This window comes from Homo sapiens, chromosome 7, assembly GCF_000001405.40.
Source record: "Homo sapiens chromosome 7, GRCh38.p14 Primary Assembly".
NCBI classification, from domain to species: Eukaryota; Metazoa; Chordata; class Mammalia; order Primates; family Hominidae; genus Homo; species Homo sapiens.
The window spans coordinates 75,529,997-75,554,227 of record NC_000007.14 but is presented as its reverse complement, the minus strand read 5'-3'; the positions used below and the strand labels follow the sequence as shown (position 1 = coordinate 75,554,227).

Genomic DNA, 24,231 nt, shown 5'->3' with positions numbered 1-24,231 from the left:
CTGGCAGACATCAGTGGACTTCTCCATTCCATAACCCTGCTGGCCCACTTGACCAGCGACGCCATTGCTCATGGTGCCACCACCTGCCTCAGAGCCCCACCTGAGCCTGCCGACTGTGAGTACCGGGGCATGAGGGGCTGTTCATGGACCAGGGGAGCAGGGGGCCTTTAAAAGTCTCTGTTGGGCCGGGCGCAGTGGCTCATGCCTGTAACTCCAGCACTTTGGGAGGCTGAGGCGGGCAGATCACTTGAGGTCGGGAGTTCAAGAACAGCCTGGCCAACATGGCAAAACCCCATCTCTACTAAAGATACAAAAACGATGGGCCAGATGCAATGGTTCACGCCTGTAATCGCCGTAACACTTTGGGAGGACGAGGTGGGCAGATCACCTGAGGTCAGGAGTTCGAGACCAGCCTGGCCAACATGGCGAAACCCCGTCTCTACTAAAAATACAAAAATTAGCCGGGCATGGTGGCGCACCCGTAATCCCAGCTACTTGGGAGGCCGAGGCAGGAGAATCGCTTGAACTCAGGAGGCGGAGTTTGCAGTGAGCCGAGATGGCGCCACTGCACTCCAGCCTGGGCAACAAGAGCGAGACTCCATCTCAAAAAAAAAGTGTCTATTGCCTTGTATCTCCAGCACTGACCGAGGCCTGTAAGCAGTATGGCAGGGAAACCCTCGCCTACCTGGCCTCCCTGGAGGAAGAGGGAAGCCTTGAGAATGCCGACAGCACAGCCATGAGGAACTGCCTGAGCAAGATCAAGGCCATCGGCGAGGTACTTGGAGTAGTATCATTGAGGAGCATTGTTATTCTTCTGGGTGTGCGTGCTGGTGAATGGCCAGGGAATCGGTGATGTTCTGAGCTAGTTCTTTCTGCACTTAGAACTTGATTCTAGAAAGAGATTGTTAAAATTGGAAAATCTGGCCGGGTGCAGTGATTTATGCGTGTAATCCCAGCACTTTGGGAGGCCGAGTCAGGAGGATCACTTGAGGCTAGACGGGATGGCTCACGCCTGTAATCCCAGCACTTTGGGAGGCTGAGGTGGGCAGATCACTTGAGGTCAAGAGCTAGAGACCAGCCTGGCCAACAGGGTGAAACCCTGTCTCTACTAAAAATACAAAAATCAACCCAGCATAGTGGTGCATGCCTATAATCCCAGGTACTGGGAGGTGGAGTCAAGAGAATTGCTTGAACCCAGGAGGTGGAGGTTGCAGTGCACCGAGATCATGCCATTGCACTCCAGCCTGGGCATAAGAGTGAGATCTATCTCGAAAAAAAAAAGGATCACTTGATCCCAGAAGTTTGAGACAGGCCTAGGCAACAAAATGAGACCCTGTCTCTTTAAAAATTAAAAAAAAAAAAATTTAAAAAGGAAAAACCTCCTGAAGGACTTTCCAGCTATATTTAATTCACTGGCTGTTAGCTGAGAATCTACTATGTTGTCATCATTACACTAGGCAATATCAAAGAAGTATAGGCAGCTCCCCTGTCTCTGAGGATTTTTATCTAGGTGGGCAGGTAATACCCAAAATGGAAATAACACTGTGTTCATTCATTTACTAAAGATGTAGTGCCGAGCATGGTGGCTCACACCTGTAATCCCTGCACTTTGGGAGGCCGAGGCAGGAGGATCACTTGAGGCCAGGAGTTCAATATCAGCCTAGGCAACATAGTGAGACCCTGTCTCTACAAAATAAAATTTTTTTTTTAATTAGACAGGTGTGATGTCACGCACCTGTAGTCCCAGCTACTCGGGAGGCTGAGGCAGGAGGATCGCTTGAGCCCAGGATTTGGAGGCCACAGTGAGCTATGATTGTGCCACTGCACTCCAGCCTAGGCAACAGAGTGAGACCCTGCCTCTGCTATAAATAAATATGTCCTGTATACCAGAAATTGGGTTAAGTATATATAGGGACAGAGAAGACATGGACTCTATGGAAAAGAAAAATAAGAAAACCATTTCTATGCAGTACAGTTTTTTTTCATTTTTTCCCCAGTGTTATGAATTGGAATATATTGGTTAAGATACAAGGATAGGGCCAGGCACGGTGGCTCACGCCTGTAATCCCAACATTTTGGGAGGCCGAGGCAGGTGGATCACCTGAGGTCAGGAGTTCTAGACCAGCCTGGCCAACATGGCAAAACCCCATCTCTACTAAAAGTACAAAAAATTAGCCAGGCGTGATGGTAGGCGCCTGTAATCCCAGCTACTTAGGAGGCTGAGGCAGGAGAATCACTTGAACCTGGGAGGCTGAGGTTGCAGTGAGCTAAGATCGTGCCTTTGCACTCCAACCTGGGCAACAGGAGCGAAACTCCACTCAAAAAATAAATAAAAAATAAAAGCCATGAGGATAGACTGTCTAATTGGAGTTCCAGAAGAAGATAATAAAAAGACCACATCCAGCCAAGGTGGGTGGATCAATTGAGGCCAGGAATTTGAGACCAGCCTGGGCAACTTAGTGGCGCCCTGTCTCTACAACAAATTTAAAAATTGGCCGGGTGTGATGGTGAGCACTTTTGGTCCCAGCTACTCAGGAGGCTGAGGCAGGAGGATCACCTAAGCCTGGGAGCTCAAGACTGCAGTGAACCGTGTACTCTGCAGTGAATTGCAGAGTGTACTCTGCAGAGTGGTTCACCTGCAGTGAACCACTGTACTCCAGCCTGGGTGAGAGAGTAAGACCCTGTCTCTAAAAAGAAAAAATAAAAAGATCAGGGCCAGGTGTGGTGGCTCACGCCTGTAATCCCAGCACTTTGGGAGGCTGAGGTGGGTGGATCACTTGAGGCCAGGAGTTTGAGACCAGCCTGGCCAATATAGTGAAACTCCATCTCTATTAAAAATACAAAATTAGCCAGTTGTGGTGGCTAATTTTGTAATCCCAGCACATACCTGTAATCCCAGCTACTTGAGAGGCTGAGGCAGGATAATCCTTTGAGCCTGGGAGGCGGAGGCTGCAGTGAGCCGAGATTGCACCACTGCACTCCAGCCTGGGCGACAGAGTGAGACACTGCCTCAAAAAAAAAAAAAAAAAAAAAAAAAATTATCATCTACATCTTTGCCTCCCTAAATAATAGAGTTAGTTTCACATGATATAGACTACAGGTAAATGGAGTCCTACTGTATATATTCTTCTACAACTGGCTTTTTCACTCCACATTCTGTGAGATTAATCCAAGAAGATAAATTCATTTTCACTGCTCTCTCATTATCTATTGTGTGAATATCGCTTAATTCATCCGTCTGTTCTCTTGGTGATGGACACTTGGGTTATTTCCAGTTTGGGTTGTTATTAATTTGCCCCTATGATCATATATGCACACATGTCAGTTTCTCTAGAGTATATACATAGAATCAGAATTACTAGGTATTAGGATGAATCTCACACATAGAATGTTGAGTGAAAAATCAAGTCATGGAAAAATATATACAGTAGGATTCCTTTTATATAAAGACTCAAACATTCAAACTTAATAGGGATGCATCTATGTGGAATTAAAAAATAATAATAATAAGACAGGCCAGGCATAGTGGCACATGTCTGAAAATCCCAGCACTTTGGGAGGCCGAAGCGGGAGGATCACTTGAGGCCAGGAGTTTGATACAGCCTGGGCTACAAAGCAAGACTCTGACTCTACAAAAAAGTTTAAAAGTTAGCAGAGCCTAGTGGTGTGTGCCCGTTGTCCCAGCTACTCAGGAGGCTGAGGCAGGGAGGATCACTTGAGCCCAGGAGTGGGAGGCTGCAGTGAGCTATGATCGCACCACTGCACTCTAGCCTGGGCAACAGGCTTTTATGTTTTGTCTTTAAAAAATAAAAATAAAATAAGACACAACAACCACGCTCTTGAATTCTGTGTCTCTTGGGGTAGAAGGCAGGGAGTAAGGGAGATAGAATCAGGGCACATACAAGTTCAAATAGGATTCCAAAGGTATTGATGTTTCTTACAGCATTCCTTAAGTTTTAAGTTGGGTGGTGGATAACATGCGTCTTTATTCTTATCCTTTGAACCATTCATATATATTTTATACCTTAGTATGTATAACACATCATGTTTTAAAAATCATAGGCTTTGCTGTTTGTCAGACCTTAGTTCAAATCCCTGCCCTGCCATTTGTTACCATAACTGTGGTCAAGACGTTCTACCTCTGATCCCTGGCTTCCTATCTGCACAGTAGGAATAATACCCGCCTCATATGATCACTGTGGAAGCAAAGTTAAGTCAGGGTCAAAGTGGAAGATATCATCTGTATTTGAAAAAGTTGTAGGCCAGGTATAGTAATTCAATCCCAGCACATTGGGAAGCCAAGACAGGAGGATCACTTGAGCCCAGGAATTCAAGACCAGCCTGGGCAACATAGTGAGACCCCATCTCTATTAAAAAAAAAAAAAAAACAATTATCCGGGCTTGGTGGTGCACCTCTGTACTCCCAGATACTCTGGTGGTAGAGGTGGGAGAATTGCTTGAGCATGGAAGGTCGAGGCTGCAGTGAGCTATGATCATGCCACTGCACTCCATCTCTGGTGACAGGGCAAGACTGTGTCTCAAAAAAATAAAAAATTAGGGCCAGGTGTGGTGGCTTACACCTGTAATCCCAGCACTTTGGGAGGCTGAGGCAGGAGGATTACCTGAGGTCAGGAGTTTGAGACCAGCCTGGGCAAAATAGTGAAACCCATCTCTACTAAAAATATAAAAATTAGCTGGGCATGGTGGTGCAAACCTGCAATCCCAGCTACTTGGGAGGCTGAGGCAGGATAATCCCTTGAGCCCGGGAGGCGGAGGCTGCAGTGAGCCGAGATTGTGCCACTGTACTCCAGCCTGGGCAACAGATTGAGACTCTGTCTCAAAAAAAAAAAAAAAAGAAAAGAAAAGAAAGAAAGCAAAAGAAAAAGAAAAATTGTAAAAAAATACCTCCTGTGTAGCTAGTACAATTGACACTGCACAACTAAGGGACTGGGGTCTTAGTGGTGGCGGAATGGCCTTGCAGGGGGAGGCAGCGATGGCATTCTGGAAGGAGGTGGATCCTGAGTGAGGAGGAGCATGAGGTTCCAGAGTTTGTGTCACAGAGAGGACAAGATGGGGTCTGCAAAAGACCCCCCCACAACCCCTGTGGCTTGCAGAAGGTGTTTGCTGGGTGGCCTCCTGCCTTGCCATCTTGTAAGGGTTACAGATGGCAGAGGAGAAGAGACAGGAGGCCCCAAGGTCAGTTCAGCCTTTGTGATGTGTTCACAGGAGCTCCTGCCCAGGGGACTGGACATCAAGCAGGAGGAGCTGGGGGACCTGGTGGACAAGGAGATGGCGGCCACTTCAGCTGCTATTGAAACTGCCACGGCCAGAATAGAGGTAGGAGGTTCCTGCAGGATCTCCTGAAACGATGCCTTTGCAGCTGCCCTTCTGCAACACTGCTCATTAAACATGTCACAGTCGTTCATTAAGGCCATGGCAACCCCCTAAGACAGAAACCAGAATTTGCCAGGCACAGTGGCTCATGCCTGTAACCCCAGCACCTTGGGAGGATCACTTGAGTCCAGGAGTTTGAGACCAGCCTGGACATCATAGCAAGACCCCATCTCTACAAAAGATAAAATAATTAGCTGGGCATGGTGGTGCATGCTTATAGTCCCAGCTACTCCAGAGGCTGCAGGAGGATCACTTGAGCCCAGGAATTGGAGGCTACAGTGAGCCATGATTGCACCACTGCACTCTAGCCTGGGTGAGAGAGTGAGACCCTGTCTGTAAAAATGTTTTTAAATTATAAAAAAAAAAAAGAGAGACCAAAATCTGAACTCGCTAGTTTTTCTGAGTGATAGAAAATGAGAAGGTCCTCATGAGAGAAGGTCCTCATGAGAGAAGGTGATTAGTTTCCTCAAGAATCAGATACTTTGGTGTCAGAACATCCTGGGTTCTGGCCAGGCGTGGTGGCTCACGCCTGTATTCCCAGCACTTTGGGAGGCCGAGGCAGGCAGATCATGAGGTCAGGAGTTTGAGACCAGCCTGGACAACATGGTGAAACCTGGTCTCTACTAAACATACAAAAATTAGCTGGGCGTGGTGGCGCGTGCCTGTAATCCCAGCCACTCAGAAGGCTGAGGCAGAAGAATCACTTGAACCCAGGAGGCGGAGGTTGCAGTGAGCCGAGATCGTACCGCTCACTCCAGCCTGGGTGACAGAGTGAGACTCCATCTCAAAACAAAACAAAATGACACGGATCACAGAGCCAGCCCACTGCAGCTGCACTCCCCCTGAATAGGTTAGAGTCTGGATTCTTTTCTGACTCTCTCAAGAATGTGGGCAGGGACTTGGGGACTTCCAGATTCAGGTTTCCCAGCTACCACACGATGTTGGACTGAAAGTATAGTAAGACATTAGTGGATCCTTAATATTCAAGGCACATTTAGAAACCATGCTTCTTTTTCACAGGAGATGCTCAGCAAATCCCGAGCAGGAGACACAGGAGTCAAATTGGAGGTGAATGAAAGGTCGGTCTGAGCGGCATGGTGGGACCTAGGGGAGCAGGATCTGTCTTCCTGACATTGGTCTATACTTTGCATACTTATTAGGGAATTAGAGGAGAGCAGTAGCAGCCACGGGGAAGGGCTGAGTTGATGTAATCATCAATAACAGTATTAATGATGACAGCAATATTGCTGTTTCACTATAGAAAAGAAACCCGCGCGGTAGCTCCCGCCTGTAATCCCAGCACTTTGGGAGGCTGAGGAGGGAGGATCACCTGAGGTCGGGAGTTCGAGACCAGCCTGCCCAATGTGGTGAAAAGTCATCTTTACTAAAAATACAAAAATTAGCCAGGCGTGGTGGTGCATGCATGTAATCCCAGCTACTTTGGAGGCTGAGGCAGGAGAATCACTTGAACCTGGGAGGTGGAGGTTGCAGTGAGCCAAGATCGTGCCTCTGCACTCTAGCCTGGGCGACAGAGCAAGACTCTGTCTCAAAAAAGAAGAAAAGAAGTCCTAGGAATCACAATTTCACTATTCCTTACGATGGAGACCCACAATTAGATCTCTCTCACTCCCCAGCCTCTCCTTCGGTGCCTCCCCGCAGAATGTTCCAGCAACCTCAGCACCCTTCTTACCTCCCTTTCCCATTCCAAGCTTGCCTTTGGCTAGGAGTGGGGAAGAGAACCGTCGTGTTCATTGATCTTGGATCTTGATCTCAGTGTATCCTCGACTTGTTTGTTTGGCAGGATCCTTGGTTGCTGTACCAGCCTCATGCAAGCTATTCAGGTGCTCATCGTGGCCTCTAAGGACCTCCAGAGAGAGATTGTGGAGAGCGGCAGGGTGAGCGTGGGTGTGGGCCCTGGGCAGGAAGAGGAGGCATTGGTGACAGACTCCCGCTCCAACGGACTCTGTGATGCTGCCGTCTTACTCTGTGTGTCCACCTGAGTACAGAGCAGCCACTCCTGTAGATATCAGCAGAGGCCCTGGGGAGAAGTCAGAGCTCCAGGACCTCCCCAGAGGGTGGCCAGGCATGTGTCCCAACTCCAGCTCCCTTCGCACAGGCAGACATTGTTGGAACTTGCTGTGGGAGCCCTTTTTACATTGCAAACCTGGGTACTCTGAGGGGGACATGAGGACTTTTGCAAAAGAAGCAGATCCTGAATGCCAGCTTGAGACTGGCTTTTCACAGGGAGTTCGGCCTAATCTGTTTCTAACAGCAGAGTCAACTCACCCTTACAAATAGACTCTGCTGTCAGCCTCTTATCAACGCACCACTTCGTGGTCTCACACCTTTGCTGGGATTATCATCATCTTGTTTTTTTCCCATTTCCCCATATGCCGCCGCAGCTCGGGAGGCGTAAGTCCAGGGGAGGGGTTAATGAGCCTGAGAACGGTGCCATAAAGCAAGCAGCCAGGCCTGCTTTGCTGGTGCCTTTTATCTTCCTGAGAGCTGATGTTTTCTGTTTCTAAAATAGAAAGATGGACTGGACAAGGATTATCTGCAGATTCTCAGACTATCAGACACTTCCAAAGCATAAAAACATTTTTCAAATCCAAGTAGAAATATTTTTTTTTAATGTATTCACTGTGTAGTCTCCTTTTTTTGGCAAATCGCAGAGAGTGGCTAGACTCTTTTCAGATCATAACTTATTCATATGAGAATATTTATTCTTATATATACAATACAGAAATGTCATGGTATGGTAGAAATGCTACAGGCTTTGGAGTCAGAAAAGCCCAAGATTTACTTCCATTTATTTCCTGCATGACCTTGGGAAAAGTCTTTTTGTTTGTTGTTTTGTTGTTTTGGGTTTTTTGTTTGCTTGTTTGTTTGTTTTTGAGACTGAGTCTCGCTCTGTCGCCAGGCTAGAATGCAGTGGTGCAATCTCGGCTCACTGCAACCTCTGCCTCCTGGGTTCAAGCGATTCTCCTGCCTCAGCCTCCCGAGTAGCTGGGATTCCAGGCACACACCACGCCCAGCTAATTTTTGTATTTTTAGTAGAGACGGAGTTTCACCATGTTAGACAGGATGGTCTCAATCTCTTGACCTCGTGATCTGCCCGCCTTGGCCTCGCAAAGTGCTGGGATTACAGGCGTGAACCACCGCGCCTAGCCAGGGTTTTGTTTTGTTTTGTTTGAGACAGAATCTCGCTCTGTTGCTCAGGCTAGAGTGCAGTGACGCGATCTCGGCTCACTGCAACCTCCGCCTCCTAGGTTCAAGTGATTGTCCTGCCTCAGCCTCCTGAGTAGCTGGGATCACAGGCACCCACCACCACACCTAGCTAATTTTTGTATTTTTAATAGAGACAGGGTTTCACCATGTTGCCCAAGCTGGTCTTGAACTCCTGACCTCAAGTGATCCACCTGCCTCAGCCTCCCAAAGTGCTGGGATTACAGGCGAGCGCCACTGCACCCAGCTGGAAAAGCCATTTTGGTCTCTGAATCTTCTTCTTTTTTGTAAAATGGGAATACTAATGCTTATGTCTCAGAGTTACTATGAGGATGATTTGGGATAATATATGTATAAAAGCACCTGCCATATAGTACATGCTCAATAAAAGGTGGCTATTACTATTTTTTATTTCCCTAGGGTACAGCATCCCCTAAAGAGTTTTATGCCAAGAACTCTCGATGGACAGAAGGACTTATCTCAGCCTCCAAGGCTGTGGGCTGGGGAGCCACTGTCATGGTGTAAGTATCTATTGGTACCAAGGGTCCTCCCATGACCCCTCTTCCATTGATCCACTCCAAACAATAGCTAAGGAGGGAAAAAAAAATCTGTCCCTTAGAAATAAACTATTGATCAGGAAGTCAATAGGACCGAGTTTACAAGGGAGCCTGGCTCTCCCAGGGGACACAGGGCAGGCAGCCTCCCCTCCCTGTTTAGCCAAGGGCGATGGGGTGGTCTGGAGGTGGGATTGTGGAGGAGTTGCAGCTCATTTGCCCGTAACCTAGTCCCTCTTGTCGTTTTCCATCAGGGATGCAGCTGATCTGGTGGTACAAGGCAGAGGGAAATTTGAGGAGCTAATGGTGTGTTCTCATGAAATTGCTGCTAGCACAGCCCAGCTTGTGGCTGCATCCAAGGTAGGACCTGGCTGGACCTCCTAGGACGCTGGAAGGCCTGGTTAGAGAGTACTAGGCTAGGTTAAAGAGTACTTGGCTGCGTTAGGCAGTACTTGGCTGAGTTAGAGAGTACTTGGCCAGGTTAGATGGCACTTGGCTAGGTTAGACTGTACTTGGCTAGGTTAAAGAGTACTAAGGGGTTAGAGAGTACTTGGCTAGGTTAGATGGTACTTGGCTGGGTTAGAGAATACTAAAGGATTAGAGAATACTTGGCTACGTTAGATAGTACTTGGCTAGGTTAGAGAGTACTTGGCTAGGTTAGATGGTACTTGGTTAGGTTAGATGGTACTTGGCTAGGTTAGAGACTACTTAGGAGTTAGAGAGTACTTGGCTAGGTTAGATAGTACTTGGATGATGGGATGGAACTGGCCTTGAGAACAAATGATCTATCCAGGGCTCAGGTGGATTCGATTCCAAATAAAAATTCACCCTGTTAAGGGTCCCATACTATCCTCTTACAGAGGCTTTTTTTTTTTTTTTTTTGGAGACAGAGCCTTGCTCTGTCACCCAGGCTGGAGTGCAGTGGCGTGATCTCAGCTCACTGCAACCTCTGCCTCCCGGGTTCAAGTGATTCTCCTGACTCAGCCTCCCGAGTAGCTGGGACTACAGACACGTGCCACCACGCCCAGCTAATTTTTTGTATTTTTAGTGGAGACGGGGTTTCACCGCGTTAGCCAGGATGGCCTCGATCTCCTGACCTTGTGATCCACCCACCTCAGCCTCCCAAAGTGCTGGGATTACAGGCGTGAGCCACCACACCTGGCCTTAGAGGCCTTTCATGTGACAGCAAGGAACGTCTGTACCCAGTCTGTACCCAGGTGTGCCACACATGTCCCTCGTGGCTTTCCTCACATCTGTTACAAGTGGCCTTAGAGAGTCCCAGCAATGCCAACTTCCGATTAGCAGTCCTGGCATTCAAGAAACACTCGAATAAGGAATAGGTTGGCATCATGAACAGGTTACCTGGCTTGGCTGTGAGATTCTACAACCCCTCTTTATTAGTGTTCAAATTTGAATCAGGCCGGGCACGATGGCTCGCTCCTGTAATCCCAGCACTTTTAGGAGGCCTGAGGTCGGGAGTTCAAGACCAGCCTGGCCAACATGGTGAAATCCAGTTTCTACTAAAAATACAAAAAATTAGCCGGGTGTGGTGGCGGGCACTTGTAATCCCAGCTGCTTGGGAGGCTGAGGCAGGAGAATTGCTTGAACCTGGGAGGTGGAGGTTGCAGTGAGCTAAGATCATGCCATTGCACTCCAGCCTGAGCAACAAGAGCAAACTCTGTCTAAAAAAAAATTATTTTTTGAATCAATATCATCAATGCCCCCAACTGATTCTCATGTAAAGTGTGCCCCAAATCCTTTTTAAGAGTTTCACAGTATCCCAGAGTGTTCTTTATTTGTCCTTATTTCTTGTCATCCCAAATTGGTTTCCACAACTGGGCACATTGTCCAAATAAGTGATAATGCTTAGAGTTTGGGATCCACCAAGCAAAGAAGCCAGGAATAACTTTTTATATGATAGATATGTCAGGAGCTGACTATAGTCAGCAGATTTTGAGAAGCTGATTGGTGATTGCCGTTTGGCCCACATATGTTTGCTAAGAACCATCAGAGCAATTATCTGATTCAGTCCTTGTTGCTCTAGGTGTTGTATGAACCTAAATCTGCTTTGTCCTGGTAGGTGAAAGCTGATAAGGACAGCCCCAACCTAGCCCAGCTGCAGCAGGCCTCTCGGGGAGTGAACCAGGCCACTGCCGGCGTTGTGGCCTCAACCATTTCCGGCAAATCACAGATCGAAGAGACAGGTAGCCTTTCCAAAGGGACCCTTTTCTTACCCACCCTGTTGAGCTCTTCTCTGCATCCTTCCCTGTGATCCCAACCAAATCCCACAGGACTGTGTCTAAATTCTTTCATATTTTTCATCTTTTTATTTTATTTTTTCTTTATTTCTGTTTTTGAGACAGGGTCTCACTCTGTCGCCCAGGCTGGAGTGCAGTGGTACCATCTCTGCTCACTGCAACCTCCACCTCCCTGGTTCACACGATTCTCCTGCCTCAGCTTCCCGAGTAGCTAGGATTACAGGCGCCCGCCACCATGCCTGGCTAATTTTTGTATTTTTAGTAGAGACGGGGTTTCACTATGTTAGCCAAGCTGGTCTCGAACTCCTCACCTCAGGTGATCTGCCCACCTTGGCCTCCCAAAGTTTGCTGGGATTATAGGTGTGAGCCACCGCGCCCTGCCATTTTTTTTTCTTTTTTTTAGATGGAGTCTTTCTCTTGTTGCCCAGGCTGGAGTGCAATGGCGCAATCTTGGCTCACTGCAACCTCCGCCTCCAGGGTTCAAGTGATTCTCTTGCCTTAGCCTCCCAAGTAGCTGGAATTACAGGCGCCCACCACTGCACCCAGCTAATTTTTGTATTTTTAGTAAAGACGGGGTTTCACCATGTTGGCCAGGCTGGTCTCAAACTCCTGACCTCATGATCCACCCACCTCAGCCTCCCAAAGAGCTAGGATTACAGGAGTGAGCCACCGTTGTCTGGCCCCCTCACTTACTTTCATGCAGTGTTGACAAATGGCAAGCCAGGCGTTTCCACAGAGCATTGGCATTGGCTGCCTCTCAGGTGCCAGTCAGCCAGGGTAGAATTTGATGAGACCTTCTTGTTTCCATCCTTGCAGACAACATGGACTTCTCAAGCATGACGCTGACACAGATCAAACGCCAAGAGATGGATTCTCAGGTGAGAGCTCCATCTGTAAGTCTAGATAGCCTCTATTGCCTAGACATGGACTCTGAATATTATTCCCATGGAGAAAAGCCAGAGGGAAATGAACACAGGTGCACCTACTAACCCAAGACTGAATGTAAATCTTGCCGGAAGAAACAGTGGAGGTAGAGAAGGTGATTAGTGAATCACCTTGTTTTTTTTTTTTGTTTGTCTTGTTTTGTTTTTTTTCTTTTTTGAGACGGAGTCTCGTCCTGTCGCCCAGACTGGAGTGCAGTGGCGTGATCTTGGCTCACCGCACTCTCCACCTCCCAGGTTCAAGCAATTCTTCTACTTCAACCTCCCAAGTAGCTGGGATTACAGACGTGCGTCACCACACCTAGCTAATTTTTTTTTTTTTTTTGAGACGGAGTCTTGCTCTGTCGCCCAGGCTGGAGTGCAGTGGTGTGATCTCGGCTCACTGCAAGCTCCCTCTCTCAGGTTCACGCCATTCTCCTGCCTCAGCCTCTCTGAGTAGCTGGAACTACAGGCGCCCACCACCATGCCTGGCTAATTTTTTGTATTTTTAGTAGAGACAGGGTTTCACCGTGTTAGCCAGGATGGTCTCGATCTCCTGACCTCGTGATCTGCCTGCCTTGGCCTCCCAAACTGCTGGGATTACAAGCGTGAGCCACCGTGCCCAGCCTTAATTTTTTATTTTTAATAGAGATAAGGTTTCACCATGCTGGCCAGGCTGGTCTCAAACTCCTGACCTTGTGATCTGCCCACCTGGGCCTTCCAAAGTGCTGGGATTACAGGCGTGAGCCACCGGCCCTTTTTTTTTTTTAAATAAGATAGAGACGGGGTCTTACTATGTTGCCCAGGCTGGTCTCAACTCCTGGCCTCACACAACCCTCCTGCCTCAGCCTCCCAAAGGGCTGGGATTACAGGTGTGAGCCACCACACCCAGCCAAGATCAGACTCTTAACTCTTGCCCACTATTCTTGGACTAACGTTCCTTTACATGTTATCCAGGATCTCTTAGTATCCACAAACTTAATAGTCTTACTATAAACACTGTTTTAGACTTCTGGTATGAATTATTTGCGTATGACTTTTAGTTTTAAAAGAGAAAATCCTTTTAACTCATCAAAGGCAATGCCATTATTTCTCTCTGTTGTTCTATAAAGTCATATTATGTAAAATAGGTATCAGCGAGATCCTTTAAAAAAAAATTGACATAGTTTTTCTAGAATAACTGGTCATCAGTCTTGGGGTGAATTTCAAATTGGAATTGTTAAAGTACTCCAAGATGTGTCACTCAGCATTTTTTTTTCTTTTTTTGAGTCAGGGCCTTGCTCTGTTCCCCAGGCTGGAGTGCATTGGTGTGATCACAGCTCACTGCAGCCTCAAACTCCTGGGCTCAGGCGGATCCTCCCACCTCAGCCTCCTGAGTAGCTGGGACTACAGATACACACCACCATGCCCAGCTAATTTTTCCTTCTTTTTTTTTTTTTTTTTTGAGACCGAGTCTTGCTCTGTTGCCTAGGCTGGAGTGAGTACAATGGCACGATCTTGGTTCACTGCAACCTCCGCCTTCCAGGTTCAAGCGATTCTCCTACCTCAGCCTCCAAAGTAGCTGGGATTACAGACATGCACCACCACACCTGGCTAATTTTGTATATTTTTAGTAGAGACGGGGTTTCATCATGTTTGTCAGGCTAGTCTCTAACTCCTGACCCCAGGTGATCCACCCACGTTGGCCTCCCAAAGTGCTGGGATTACGGGCATAAGCCACCATGCCCGGCCAGCAAATATTCCTTGAATTAAGAAATAAAATAAATTACATTAATGAGAAGTAGAGCTAGACAAGATCACCCTTTCCTTTATAGTAAGATTTTCCAGGCTTTTTCCTGTAGCAGTAATAAGTGTAAGTTGCACAAATACCTGAAAGATATCAGAACCATCATATTTGCTTCCTACCTGGGTTTCTAGGGAACTGGGATTGAAGAAGGGTTACAACTAGATTGGTACTCACCATACAGTTAGGCTAAACATTAGAGTTGTTTTTAGATAGTGATTTCTCAGAGGAACAGAAGATAAGCCCACCTACCATTTAGGCATTTGTAAAGCATCATTCACTTCCAGTAGAAGATCACAGTGAGTAAAGCATAAGAGCTACTGGGATAGATAAATGAATGGGAGAATGGAAAAATTAGAGCAAAGAAGAGAATTGAAATTGAGGGCCAGATAAAGTATGGAAACGGTGAATAATATGGAAGAAGAGGAATTCACAATGCAGCAGAAAGGGAGTAATCAAAATAAGATAGATGTAGGCTGGGCATGGTGTTTCATGCCTGTAATCTCAGCACTTTGGGAGGCCAAGACAGGAGGATCTCTTGAGGCCAGGAGTTCACTACCAGCCTGGGCAGCAGAACAAGACCCCATCTCTATAAAAAAATAAATAAAAATTAAATCTCTGAGAGATGATTAAGAGAAAATCCCACTTAATTTCCCTTACAGGTTAGGGTGCTAGAGCTAGAAAATGAATTGCAGAAGGAGCGTCAAAAACTGGGAGAGCTTCGGAAAAAGCACTACGAGCTTGCTGGTGTTGCTGAGGGCTGGGAAGAAGGTAAGCTGACTCCAAGGATGGGCACTAACCCGCAGCAGGGAGGGGAAGCTGTGTGGCCAGGGCCTTCCCCTAGAATGGAACAGAACAAGGAACCCACCAGATCGGTGGCTTCTTCCTTCTCTTCTCTCCTCATGGAACCTGTTTTCTCTTCCGTTGTAAATAACCTTTAAGCCTAACTTTGGGTGAAGTTATGGTGATTTGAAAGCTTTTGTTGTCACCTTTTAAGACCTAAACATTGATCATAACTCACTCACTGCCATTCCCTCCCAGGCCCAGCTAGCCTTGCCAACTCCCTGGGAATTTAGTTTCTGGCCAGCAGAGAGTTGAAAAATGAATAAATAGTGGTCAGTCGAGATCTGGCAGACAGGGACAAGTGAATTACAAGGTTCTGTCTATCTAGAGCCAGTGAAGGGCAACAATTGCCAAAAGACAGAAGGGATCAGGTGCTAGGCCGGGCGTGGTGGCTCACGCCTATAATCCCAGCACTTTGGGAGGCCGAGGCGGGCGGATCACGAGGTCAGGAGATCGAGACCATCCTGGCTAACACGGTGAAACCCCGTCTCTACTAAAAATACAAAAAATTAGCCTGGCGTGGTGGTGGGCGCCTGTAGTCCCAGCTACTCAGGAGGCTGAGGCAGGAGAATGGCGTGAACCCGGGAGGCGGAGCTTGCAGTGAGCCGAGATCGCGCCACTGCACTCCAGCCTGGGCAACAGAGCGAGACTCCATCTCAAAAAAAAAAAAAAAAAAAAAAGAAGGGATCAGGTGCTGAGAAATGGAGTGGCATGGAGTCACATTCAGGCTGCCAGCCCAGAGACTTGCCATCCATCACCTCGAGTCTATATGTTGTTGTCTGCATGTCGAAAGCAGTCAACTTGATCACAGCCAAGACTGTTCACTCTTAGTGGACTTGACTGACTCTGGGCACCAACCATAGACAGATCCTAGTCATTCCTAGACACGAAACTTGGGGACTATGTGATTACACCATGGTTATAATTATAATGTATTTTTGAGCCCCCATGGTGGCAGGTTTTGTTGGTTAAGTGAATGAATGCATTCATGAGTGCTTTGCAACATAAATTATCATTGTCTTTTAGGAACAGAGGCATCTCCACCTACACTGCAAGAAGTGGTAACCGAAAAAGAATAGAGCCAAACCAACACCCCATATGTCAGTGTAAATCCTTGTTACCTATCTCGTGTGTGTTATTTCCCCAGCCACAGGCCAAATCCTTGGAGTCCCAGGGGCAGCCACACCACTGCCATTACCCAGTGCCGAGGACATGCATGACACTTCCAAAGACTCCCTCCATAGCGACACCCTTTCTGTTTGGACCCATGGTCATCTCTGTTCTTTTCCCGCCTCCCTAGTTAGCATCCAGGCTGGCCAGTGCTGCCCATGAGCAAGCCTAGGTACGAAGAGGGGTGGTGGGGGGCAGGGCCACTCAACAGAGAGGACCAACATCCAGTCCTGCTGACTATTTGACCCCCACAACAATGGGTATCCTTAATAGAGGAGCTGCTTGTTGTTTGTTGACAGCTTGGAAAGGGAAGATCTTATGCCTTTTCTTTTCTGTTTTCTTCTCAGTCTTTTCAGTTTCATCATTTGCACAAACTTGTGAGCATCAGAGGGCTGATGGATTCCAAACCAGGACACTACCCTGAGATCTGCACAGTCAGAAGGACGGCAGGAGTGTCCTGGCTGTGAATGCCAAAGCCATTCTCCCCCTCTTTGGGCAGTGCCATGGATTTCCACTGCTTCTTATGGTGGTTGGTTGGGTTTTTTGGTTTTGTTTTTTTTTTTAAGTTTCACTCACATAGCCAACTCTCCCAAAGGGCACACCCCTGGGGCTGAGTCTCCAGGGCCCCCCAACTGTGGTAGCTCCAGCGATGGTGCTGCCCAGGCCTCTCGGTGCTCCATCTCCGCCTCCACACTGACCAAGTGCTGGCCCACCCAGTCCATGCTCCAGGGTCAGGCGGAGCTGCTGAGTGACAGCTTTCCTCAAAAAGCAGAAGGAGAGTGAGTGCCTTTCCCTCCTAAAGCTGAATCCCGGCGGAAAGCCTCTGTCCGCCTTTACAAGGGAGAAGACAACAGAAAGAGGGACAAGAGGGTTCACACAGCCCAGTTCCCGTGACGAGGCTCAAAAACTTGATCACATGCTTGAATGGAGCTGGTGAGATCAACAACACTACTTCCCTGCCGGAATGAACTGTCCGTGAATGGTCTCTGTCAAGCGGGCCGTCTCCCTTGGCCCAGAGACGGAGTGTGGGAGTGATTCCCAACTCCTTTCTGCAGACGTCTGCCTTGGCATCCTCTTGAATAGGAAGATCGTTCCACCTTCTACGCAATTGACAAACCCGGAAGATCAGATGCAATTGCTCCCATCAGGGAAGAACCCTATACTTGGTTTGCTACCCTTAGTATTTATTACTAACCTCCCTTAAGCAGCAACAGCCTACAAAGAGATGCTTGGAGCAATCAGAACTTCAGGTGTGACTCTAGCAAGGCTCATCTTTCTGCCCGGCTACATCAGCCTTCAAGAATCAGAAGAAAGGCCAAGGTGCTGGACTGTTACTGACTTGGATCCCAAAGCAAGGAGATCATTTGGAGCTCTTGGGTCAGAGAAAATGAGAAAGGACAGAGCCAGCGGCTCCAACTCCTTTCAGCCACATGCCCCAGGCTCTCGCTGCCCTGTGGACAGGATGAGGACAGAGGGCACATGAACAGCTTGCCAGGGATGGGCAGCCCAACAGCACTTTTCCTCTTCTAGATGGACCCCAGCATTTAAGTGACCTTCTGATCTTGGAAAAACAGCGTCTTCCTTCTTTATCTATAGCAACTCATTGGTGGTAGCCATCAAGCACTTCCCAGGATCTGCTCCAACAGAATATTGCTAGGTTTTGCTACATGACGGGTTGTGAGACTTCTGTTTGATCACTGTGAACCAACCCCCATCTCCCTAGCCCACCCCCCTCCCCAACTCCCTCTCTGTGCATTTTCTAAGTGGGACATTCAAAAAACTCTCTCCCAGGACCTCGGATGACCATACTCAGACGTGTGACCTCCATACTGGGCTAAGGAAGTATCAGCACTAGAAATTGGGCAGTCTTAATGTTGAATGCTGCTTTCTGCTTAGTATTTTTTTGATTCAAGGCTCAGAAGGAATGGTGCGTGGCTTCCCTGTCCCAGTTGTGGCAACTAAACCAATCGGTGTGTTCTTGATGCGGGTCAACATTTCCAAAAGTGGCTAGTCCTCACTTCTAGATCTCAGCCATTCTAACTCATATGTTCCCAATTACCAAGGGGTGGCCGGGCACAGTGGCTCACGCCTGTAATCCCAGCACTTTGAGAGGCTGAGGTGGTAGGATCACCTGAGGTCAGGAGTTCAAGACCAGCCTGTCCAACATGGTGAAACCCCCATCTCTACTAAAAATACCAAAAATTAGCCGAGCGTAGTGACGGGTGCCCGTAATCCCAGCTACTCAGGAGGCTGAGACAGGAGAATCACCTGAACCCCAGAGGCAGAGGTTGCAGTGAGCTGAGATCACGCCATTGTACTCCAGCCTGGGCAACAAGAGCAAAACTCCGTCTCAAAAAAAAAAAAAAATTACAAATGGGGCAAACAGTCTAGTGTAATGGATCAAATTAAGATTCTCTGCCCAGCCGGGCACAGTGGCGCATGCCTGTAATCCCAGAACTTTGGGAGGCCAAGACGGGATGATTGCTTGAGCTCAGGAGTTTGAGACCAGGCTGGGCATCATAGCAAGACCTCATCTCTACTAAAATTCAAAAACAAAATTAGCCGGGCATGATGGTGCATGCCTGTAGTCTCAGCTAGTTGGGGAGCTAAGGTGGGAGAATTGCTTGAGCTTGGGAAGTCGAGGCTGCAGTCAGCCCTGATTGTGCCAGTGCACTCCGGCCTGGGTGACAGAGTGAGACCCTGTCTCAAAAAAAAAAAGATTCTGTGTCAGAGCCCAGCCCAGGAGTTTGAGGCTGCAATGAGCCATGATTTCCCACTGCACTCCAGCCTGAGTGACAGAGCGAGACTCCATCTCTTTAAAAACAAACAAAAAATTATCTGAATGATCCTGTCTCTAAAAAGAAGCCACAGAAATGTTTAAAAACTTCATCGACTTAGCCTGAGTCATAACGGTTAAGAAAGCACTTAAACAGAAGCAGAGGCTAATTCAGTGTCACATGAGGAAGTAGCTGTCAGATGTCACATAATTACTTTCGTAATAGCTCAGATTAGAATGGCTACCCCATTCTCTAGACAAAATCAAATTGTCCTATTGTGACTCTTCTAAAAATGAAGATGAAGAGCTATTTAATGACACACCTTGGATTAAAACGGGAATCACATCTTAAAGCTAAAAATGAACCTGCAAGCCTTCTAAATGAGTCACTGAGCATCACTAGTGACAAGTCTCGGGTGAGCGTAAATGGGTCATGACAAGATGGGACAGCAACAAAATCATGGCTTAGGATCGACAAGAAGTTAAAAAACAGCTGCATCTGTTACTTAAGTTTGTAAGACAGTGCCCTGAGACCTCTAGAGAAAAGATGTTTGTTTACATAAGAGAAAGAGGCCAGACATGGTGTCTCACACGTTTAATCCCAGCACTTTGGGAGGCAGGGGCGGGTGGATCACCTGAGGTCAGGAGTTCAAGACTAGCCTGGCCAACATGGTGAAACCCCGTCTCTACTAAAAATACAAAAATTAGCCGGGCATGGTGGCAGGCGCCTATAATCCCAGCTACTGGGGAGGCTGAGGCAGGAGAATCACTTGAACCCGGGGGACAGAGGTTGTAGTGAGCCAAGATCGCACCACTGCACTCCAGCCTGGGTCACAGAGTGAGACTCCATCTCAAAAAAAAAAAAGAGAGAGAGAGAGAAAGAAATAGAAGAGAAGAGCCATCTTGGCAGGGTTATTTTATATCTGAGCAAGGAGTTTAAATGAGACTAGTTTAGATTGTCTGCTGATGCAGCCGTCCATAGCAGTACCCCTAAAATCCCACCAGAATACGGGTCCCTCTAACCCAGTGGCTGGAAGAACCACTGTCTAGAGCAACTTTTCTTGGAACTGTCCCAGCTACCAAGTCAGACACCAAGGTTTATGCCACCAGGTAACACGGGAATCACAGGTACATGTCGCTCCGGTCAGATTAGTTGGCTTTGGCCCCTCGACCCTGTGCAGGAGCTAGTTCTCAGCTTGCAGCTGGAAGTTCCCTCTTAGCTCCTTAGTCTAGAGGGGTCTCCTGGCTCCATTTGACCCTGGTCTTTAATAACCGGTCAGCATCTTGCTACCTTCTACCACCTTTCCAAATCTCTGGAAATCCTGCCAGGGAAAGCCTCCAGTTCCAACATTGGCTTTCCAAGCAAACTGGCTTTGCCCTCTCTCTGCCATCCTTGTCCTCCAGAGACTGCACCACCTGTAGCATAGAAAACCACCACCACGGACCTGCCAGCCATCGGCGCAGCAAACCAGCCAGCTGTTTGCTGCCAAATTCCTTCCTCTCCCAGGTCCAGACCAAATACAAGATCAGCACCACACCGTGGTGTTGTCAGGAGCCAAAGCAACAGGAAACAATTCAATGCTGTTGGGTTCGATTCTGAGAGTAGATTTTTCCAGACATGTCTTTCAGGTGACCCTCAACTACCTCAGGTTTGAAGGCCCTAAATGAAACTGATTACCACTCATAGGGACAAACCGAGGGGGTTCGGTTACATCTTGGTGATAATGCAGTTGTCTCAAACTTATAACAGACTCTTTCACATTTCAGTTTGCAGGGATAGGGTTGGGTTTGTTTTTCTTCTGTTTTTAACCTTTCCCCTGGGTTTCCATTAGGGTAGTTCCTTGAAATGAATTTCATTTTTCACTGAGTGCCTACCTTCCCAGGGCAGGTGGCCACTGGCTTCTGTTTCCCTCCAACAATACTTTTATTATGGTATTAAGACCTTTCTTTGTATAATACATTGCATCTGTGTTTTCAATTTTTCAAATAAATATTTCCGCCTGGCAATGGAGCGTGGTGGTGATTGACCAGCCAGCGTGGCTCTGAGGTATAGGCTCCAGTGAGAAGCCTGCATTTGTATCCTGGGGTTCATGGAATCCACTTAGCCCCACACCTCTGGGAATATATCTTAGAAATATTAGTTTTGAGCCGGGTGTGGTGGCTCACACCAGTAATCCCAGCTCTTAGGGAGGCAGAGGCAGGAGGATAGCTTGAGCCCAGGAGTTAAGAGACCTGCCTGGAAAATATAGTGAGAAGCTGTTCTCCACAAAAAGGAAAAAAAAAAAAGAAATATTAGTTTGATATTGGGCATGGTGGCTCATGCCTGTAATCCCAGCAATTTGGGAGGCTGCAGTGGGAGGATCACTTGAGTGCAGGAGTTTGAGAGCAACCTGGGCAACACAGCAAGACCCCGTCTACAACAAAATTAACTGGGAATGGTAGCATATGCCTGTAGTCCCAGCTACTTGGGAGGCTGAGTCAGGAGGCTCAGTTCAGCCCAGGAGGTTGAGGCTGCAGTGATCACGCCATTGCACTCCACCCTGGGCAACAGAGCAAGACCCTGTCTCTTGAAAAAAAAAAAAAGACATTTGTTTGCACTTCTTAAACATGTTCCATCCTCCCTGTACGCTCTCCTGTCCATGGGAATGATCAAATAGAAAGTCCCGAAGTGGGCCAAGGACTGTGGCTCACACCTGTAATCCCAGCAGTTTGGGAGACCGATGCGGGCAGATCACCTGAGGTCGGGAGTTCAAGACCAGCCTAACCAACATGGAGAAACCCCCATCTCTACTAAAAATACAAAATTAGCCAAGTGTGGTGACATATGTCTGTAGTCCCAGCTACTCGGGAGGCTGAGGCAGGAGAATCACTTGAACCCAGGAGGCGGAGGTTGTGGTAAGCCGAGATCACGCCACTGCATTCCAGTCTGGGCAACAAGAGCAAAACTCGGTCTCAAAAAAAAAAAAAAAAAAAAGTCCCGAAGTGGTTAACACTGCCATTTAGGCTGGGCATGGTGATTCATGCCTGTAATCCCAGCACTTTGGGAGGCCAAGGCATTTGAGACCAGCCCGGGCAACATGGCAAAACCCTGTCTCTATAAAAAATACAAAAAAAAAAAAAAATAGCTGGGCATGGTGGTGTGCACCTGTACCCCCAGCTTCTAGGGAGGGCGAGATGGGAGAATCATGTGAGCCCCTGGAGAGGTCGAGGCTGCGGTAAGCCATGACTGCGCTACTGCACTCCAACCTGGATGACAGAGACCCTGTCTAAAAAAACATAATATTTAAAAAAAAAAAAAAACTTATCATATAGATCAGGTGTCATAAAATCTGGGGGTTCAGGCTGTGGCTCCTCCCTCTGCACCCTTGCGATGCAAATTAACCTATTACCTTAAAATGAGATGTGACCAATTCTGCTCAGAGACAGAAGCTACTGGTCAAAGGGATTCAGAGCAAACCAGTCACAGCTACCAGAGGATTTACAGAGGGAGCTAACAGAGCCGGGCTGGGCTGCAGAGCGACCTTTCCACAGCACGCTGCAACCTAATACAGTGTGTTAAGCCAGGGGACCTACAGGGGAGACACAGATTGGGAAAGGCTGGGCTTGGTAAGCAGGAGAATTGGCCCAAATGACTCATCACATAAGGAGAGAATGAGGCAGGTAATCAGAAGCTAGCATCTCTAACTAAGGAGATCAAAGAACCAGTGGGATCACCTTGCTCAGTGGGAAGGTGATCTGGATAAATACCAAAGACGGGGACACTTGCCTGCAGCTGGGCTTTTCTGCTCCCAGTGACAGAATGCCAAAGTGAGCCTGCTCCATTTAAAGCATAGGCCGGGCGCAATGACTCATGCCTGTAATCCCAGCACTTTAGGAGGCCCAAGCAGGTGGATCACTTGAGTCCAAGAATTCAAGACCAGCCTGGGCAACATGAAGAAACCCTATCTCTACAAAAAATACAAAAAACTAGCTGGGTGTGGTGGCACATGCCTGTAGTCACAGCTACTTGGGAGACTGAGGCAGGAGGATTGCTTGAGCCCGGGAGGCAGAGGTTGCAGTGAGCTATGATGGTGCCACTGCACACTCCAGCCTGGGCGACAGAGTCAGACATTGTCTCAAAAAAAAAAAAAAAACCATCTTGAACTGTCCTTTAAAAGCTCTACTAGGCTGGGCACAGTGGCTCATGCCTGTAATCCCAGCACTTTGGGAGGCCAAGGCGGAGGATCACTCGAGGTCAGGAGTTCGAGACCGGCCTGGCCAACGTGGTGAAACCCCATCTCTACTAAAAATACAAAAATTAGCTGGGTGTGGCGACATGCGCCTGTAATCCCAGCTACTCGGGAAGCTGAGGCACGAGAATCGCTTGAACCTGGGAGGCAGAGGTTGCAGCGAGCCAAGATCACGCCACTGCACTCCAACCTGGGCAACAGAGCAAGCCTCCCTCTCAAAAAAATAAAAAATAAAAGGTCTATTCAATTGTGCAGACAAGGGAAAGCGGTTGATTGGCTTTAGGCAAAGGGGTGACATGATGAGATTTGCATTCTGAAAAGACCATTCTGGTTGCAGTATGGAGGACAGAGTGGCGTGGAGCTGGAGTAGACAGGGGAAACCGACAAGGAAGTTATTGTCATAGTCCAGGCAAAGGGTGATGGCATGTGAGACAGGATAGTAGCAGGAGAGACAGGAGAAATGGCAGGCCAGAGAGACACATGGCAGGTAAAATGGACATGGACAGACAGGAGTTGGGTTACATAGAAGGGGGCTAGGGAAGGAGCTTTTAGGGAGGGGTCCTGGGTTTCTGGATTGTGAAATTAGTGGTGCCATCTACCTGGAAGAAGGCCAGGCTCAGCATAGATATTATGATACTATGTTTTGAGCTGAATTGCTTTTTTTTTTTTTTTTTTGAGACAGAATCTACACTCTGTTGCCCAGGCTGGAGTACAGTGGCACAATCTCAGCTCACTGCAACCTCCACCTCCAGGGTTCAAGCAATTCTCCTGCCTCAGCCTCCCAAGGAGCTGGGATTACAAGCGCCCGACACCACACCCGGCTAACTTTTTGTATTTTTAGTAGAGACCAGGTTTCACCATGTTGGCCAGGCTGGTTTCGAATTCCTGACCTCAAGTGATCGTCCCACCTCAGCCTCCCAAAGTGCTGGGATCACAGGCGTGAGCCACGGCATCCGGTCTGAATTGCCTTTTTTTTTTTAAAAAAAAAAAGTCCGGGACAGGAGATTTTGCGCTGTCACACAGGCCGGAGTGCAGTGGCCCAGTCATAACTCACTGCAGCCTCCAGATCCTGGCCTCAA

At 47.9% G+C, this 24,231-nt stretch overlaps 1 protein-coding gene across 8 annotated transcripts in view, besides 2 other annotated features; it reads left to right on the top strand.

Annotated features, from left to right (window-relative positions):
- HIP1 (huntingtin interacting protein 1) overlaps window positions 1-20,930 on the top strand; it is a 205,644-nt gene extending 184,714 nt beyond the window's left edge. For 4 of the 8 annotated variants that reach the window (NM_005338.7, NM_001382444.1, XM_017012099.2 and 1 more), the window contains exons 21-31: window positions 8-115; window positions 639-775; window positions 5,227-5,337; window positions 6,415-6,473; window positions 7,196-7,289; window positions 9,040-9,140; window positions 9,428-9,533; window positions 11,254-11,377; window positions 12,248-12,309; window positions 14,797-14,905; window positions 16,004-20,930. In NM_005338.7, the coding sequence (NP_005329.3) occupies window positions 8-115; window positions 639-775; window positions 5,227-5,337; window positions 6,415-6,473; window positions 7,196-7,289; window positions 9,040-9,140; window positions 9,428-9,533; window positions 11,254-11,377; window positions 12,248-12,309; window positions 14,797-14,905; window positions 16,004-16,056 (1,064 nt within the window). In that variant the 3' untranslated portion in view covers window positions 16,057-20,930. The remainder of the gene's footprint in view (window positions 1-7; window positions 116-638; window positions 776-5,226; window positions 5,338-6,414; window positions 6,474-7,195; window positions 7,290-9,039; window positions 9,141-9,427; window positions 9,534-11,253; window positions 11,378-12,247; window positions 12,310-14,796; window positions 14,906-16,003) is intronic. The other 4 variants (XM_011516116.3, XM_047420295.1, XM_047420294.1 and 1 more) reach the window with 2 other exon arrangements.
- Window positions 18,768-19,017: an enhancer, noted in NCBI's record as "active region_26178". NCBI's record gives its function as "activates an Ori minimal core promoter by ATAC-STARR-seq in GM12878 lymphoblastoid cells {active_cell/tissue: GM12878}" and the evidence as "EXISTENCE:reporter gene assay evidence [ECO:0000049][PMID:35858748]".
- Window positions 22,340-23,036: an enhancer, noted in NCBI's record as "NANOG-H3K27ac-H3K4me1 hESC enhancer chr7:75160518-75161214 (GRCh37/hg19 assembly coordinates)". NCBI's record gives its function as "activates a minimal SCP1, AML or CMV promoter by ChIP-STARR-seq in primed H9 embryonic stem cells {active_cell/tissue: H9 hESC(primed)}" and the evidence as "EXISTENCE:reporter gene assay evidence [ECO:0000049][PMID:30033119]".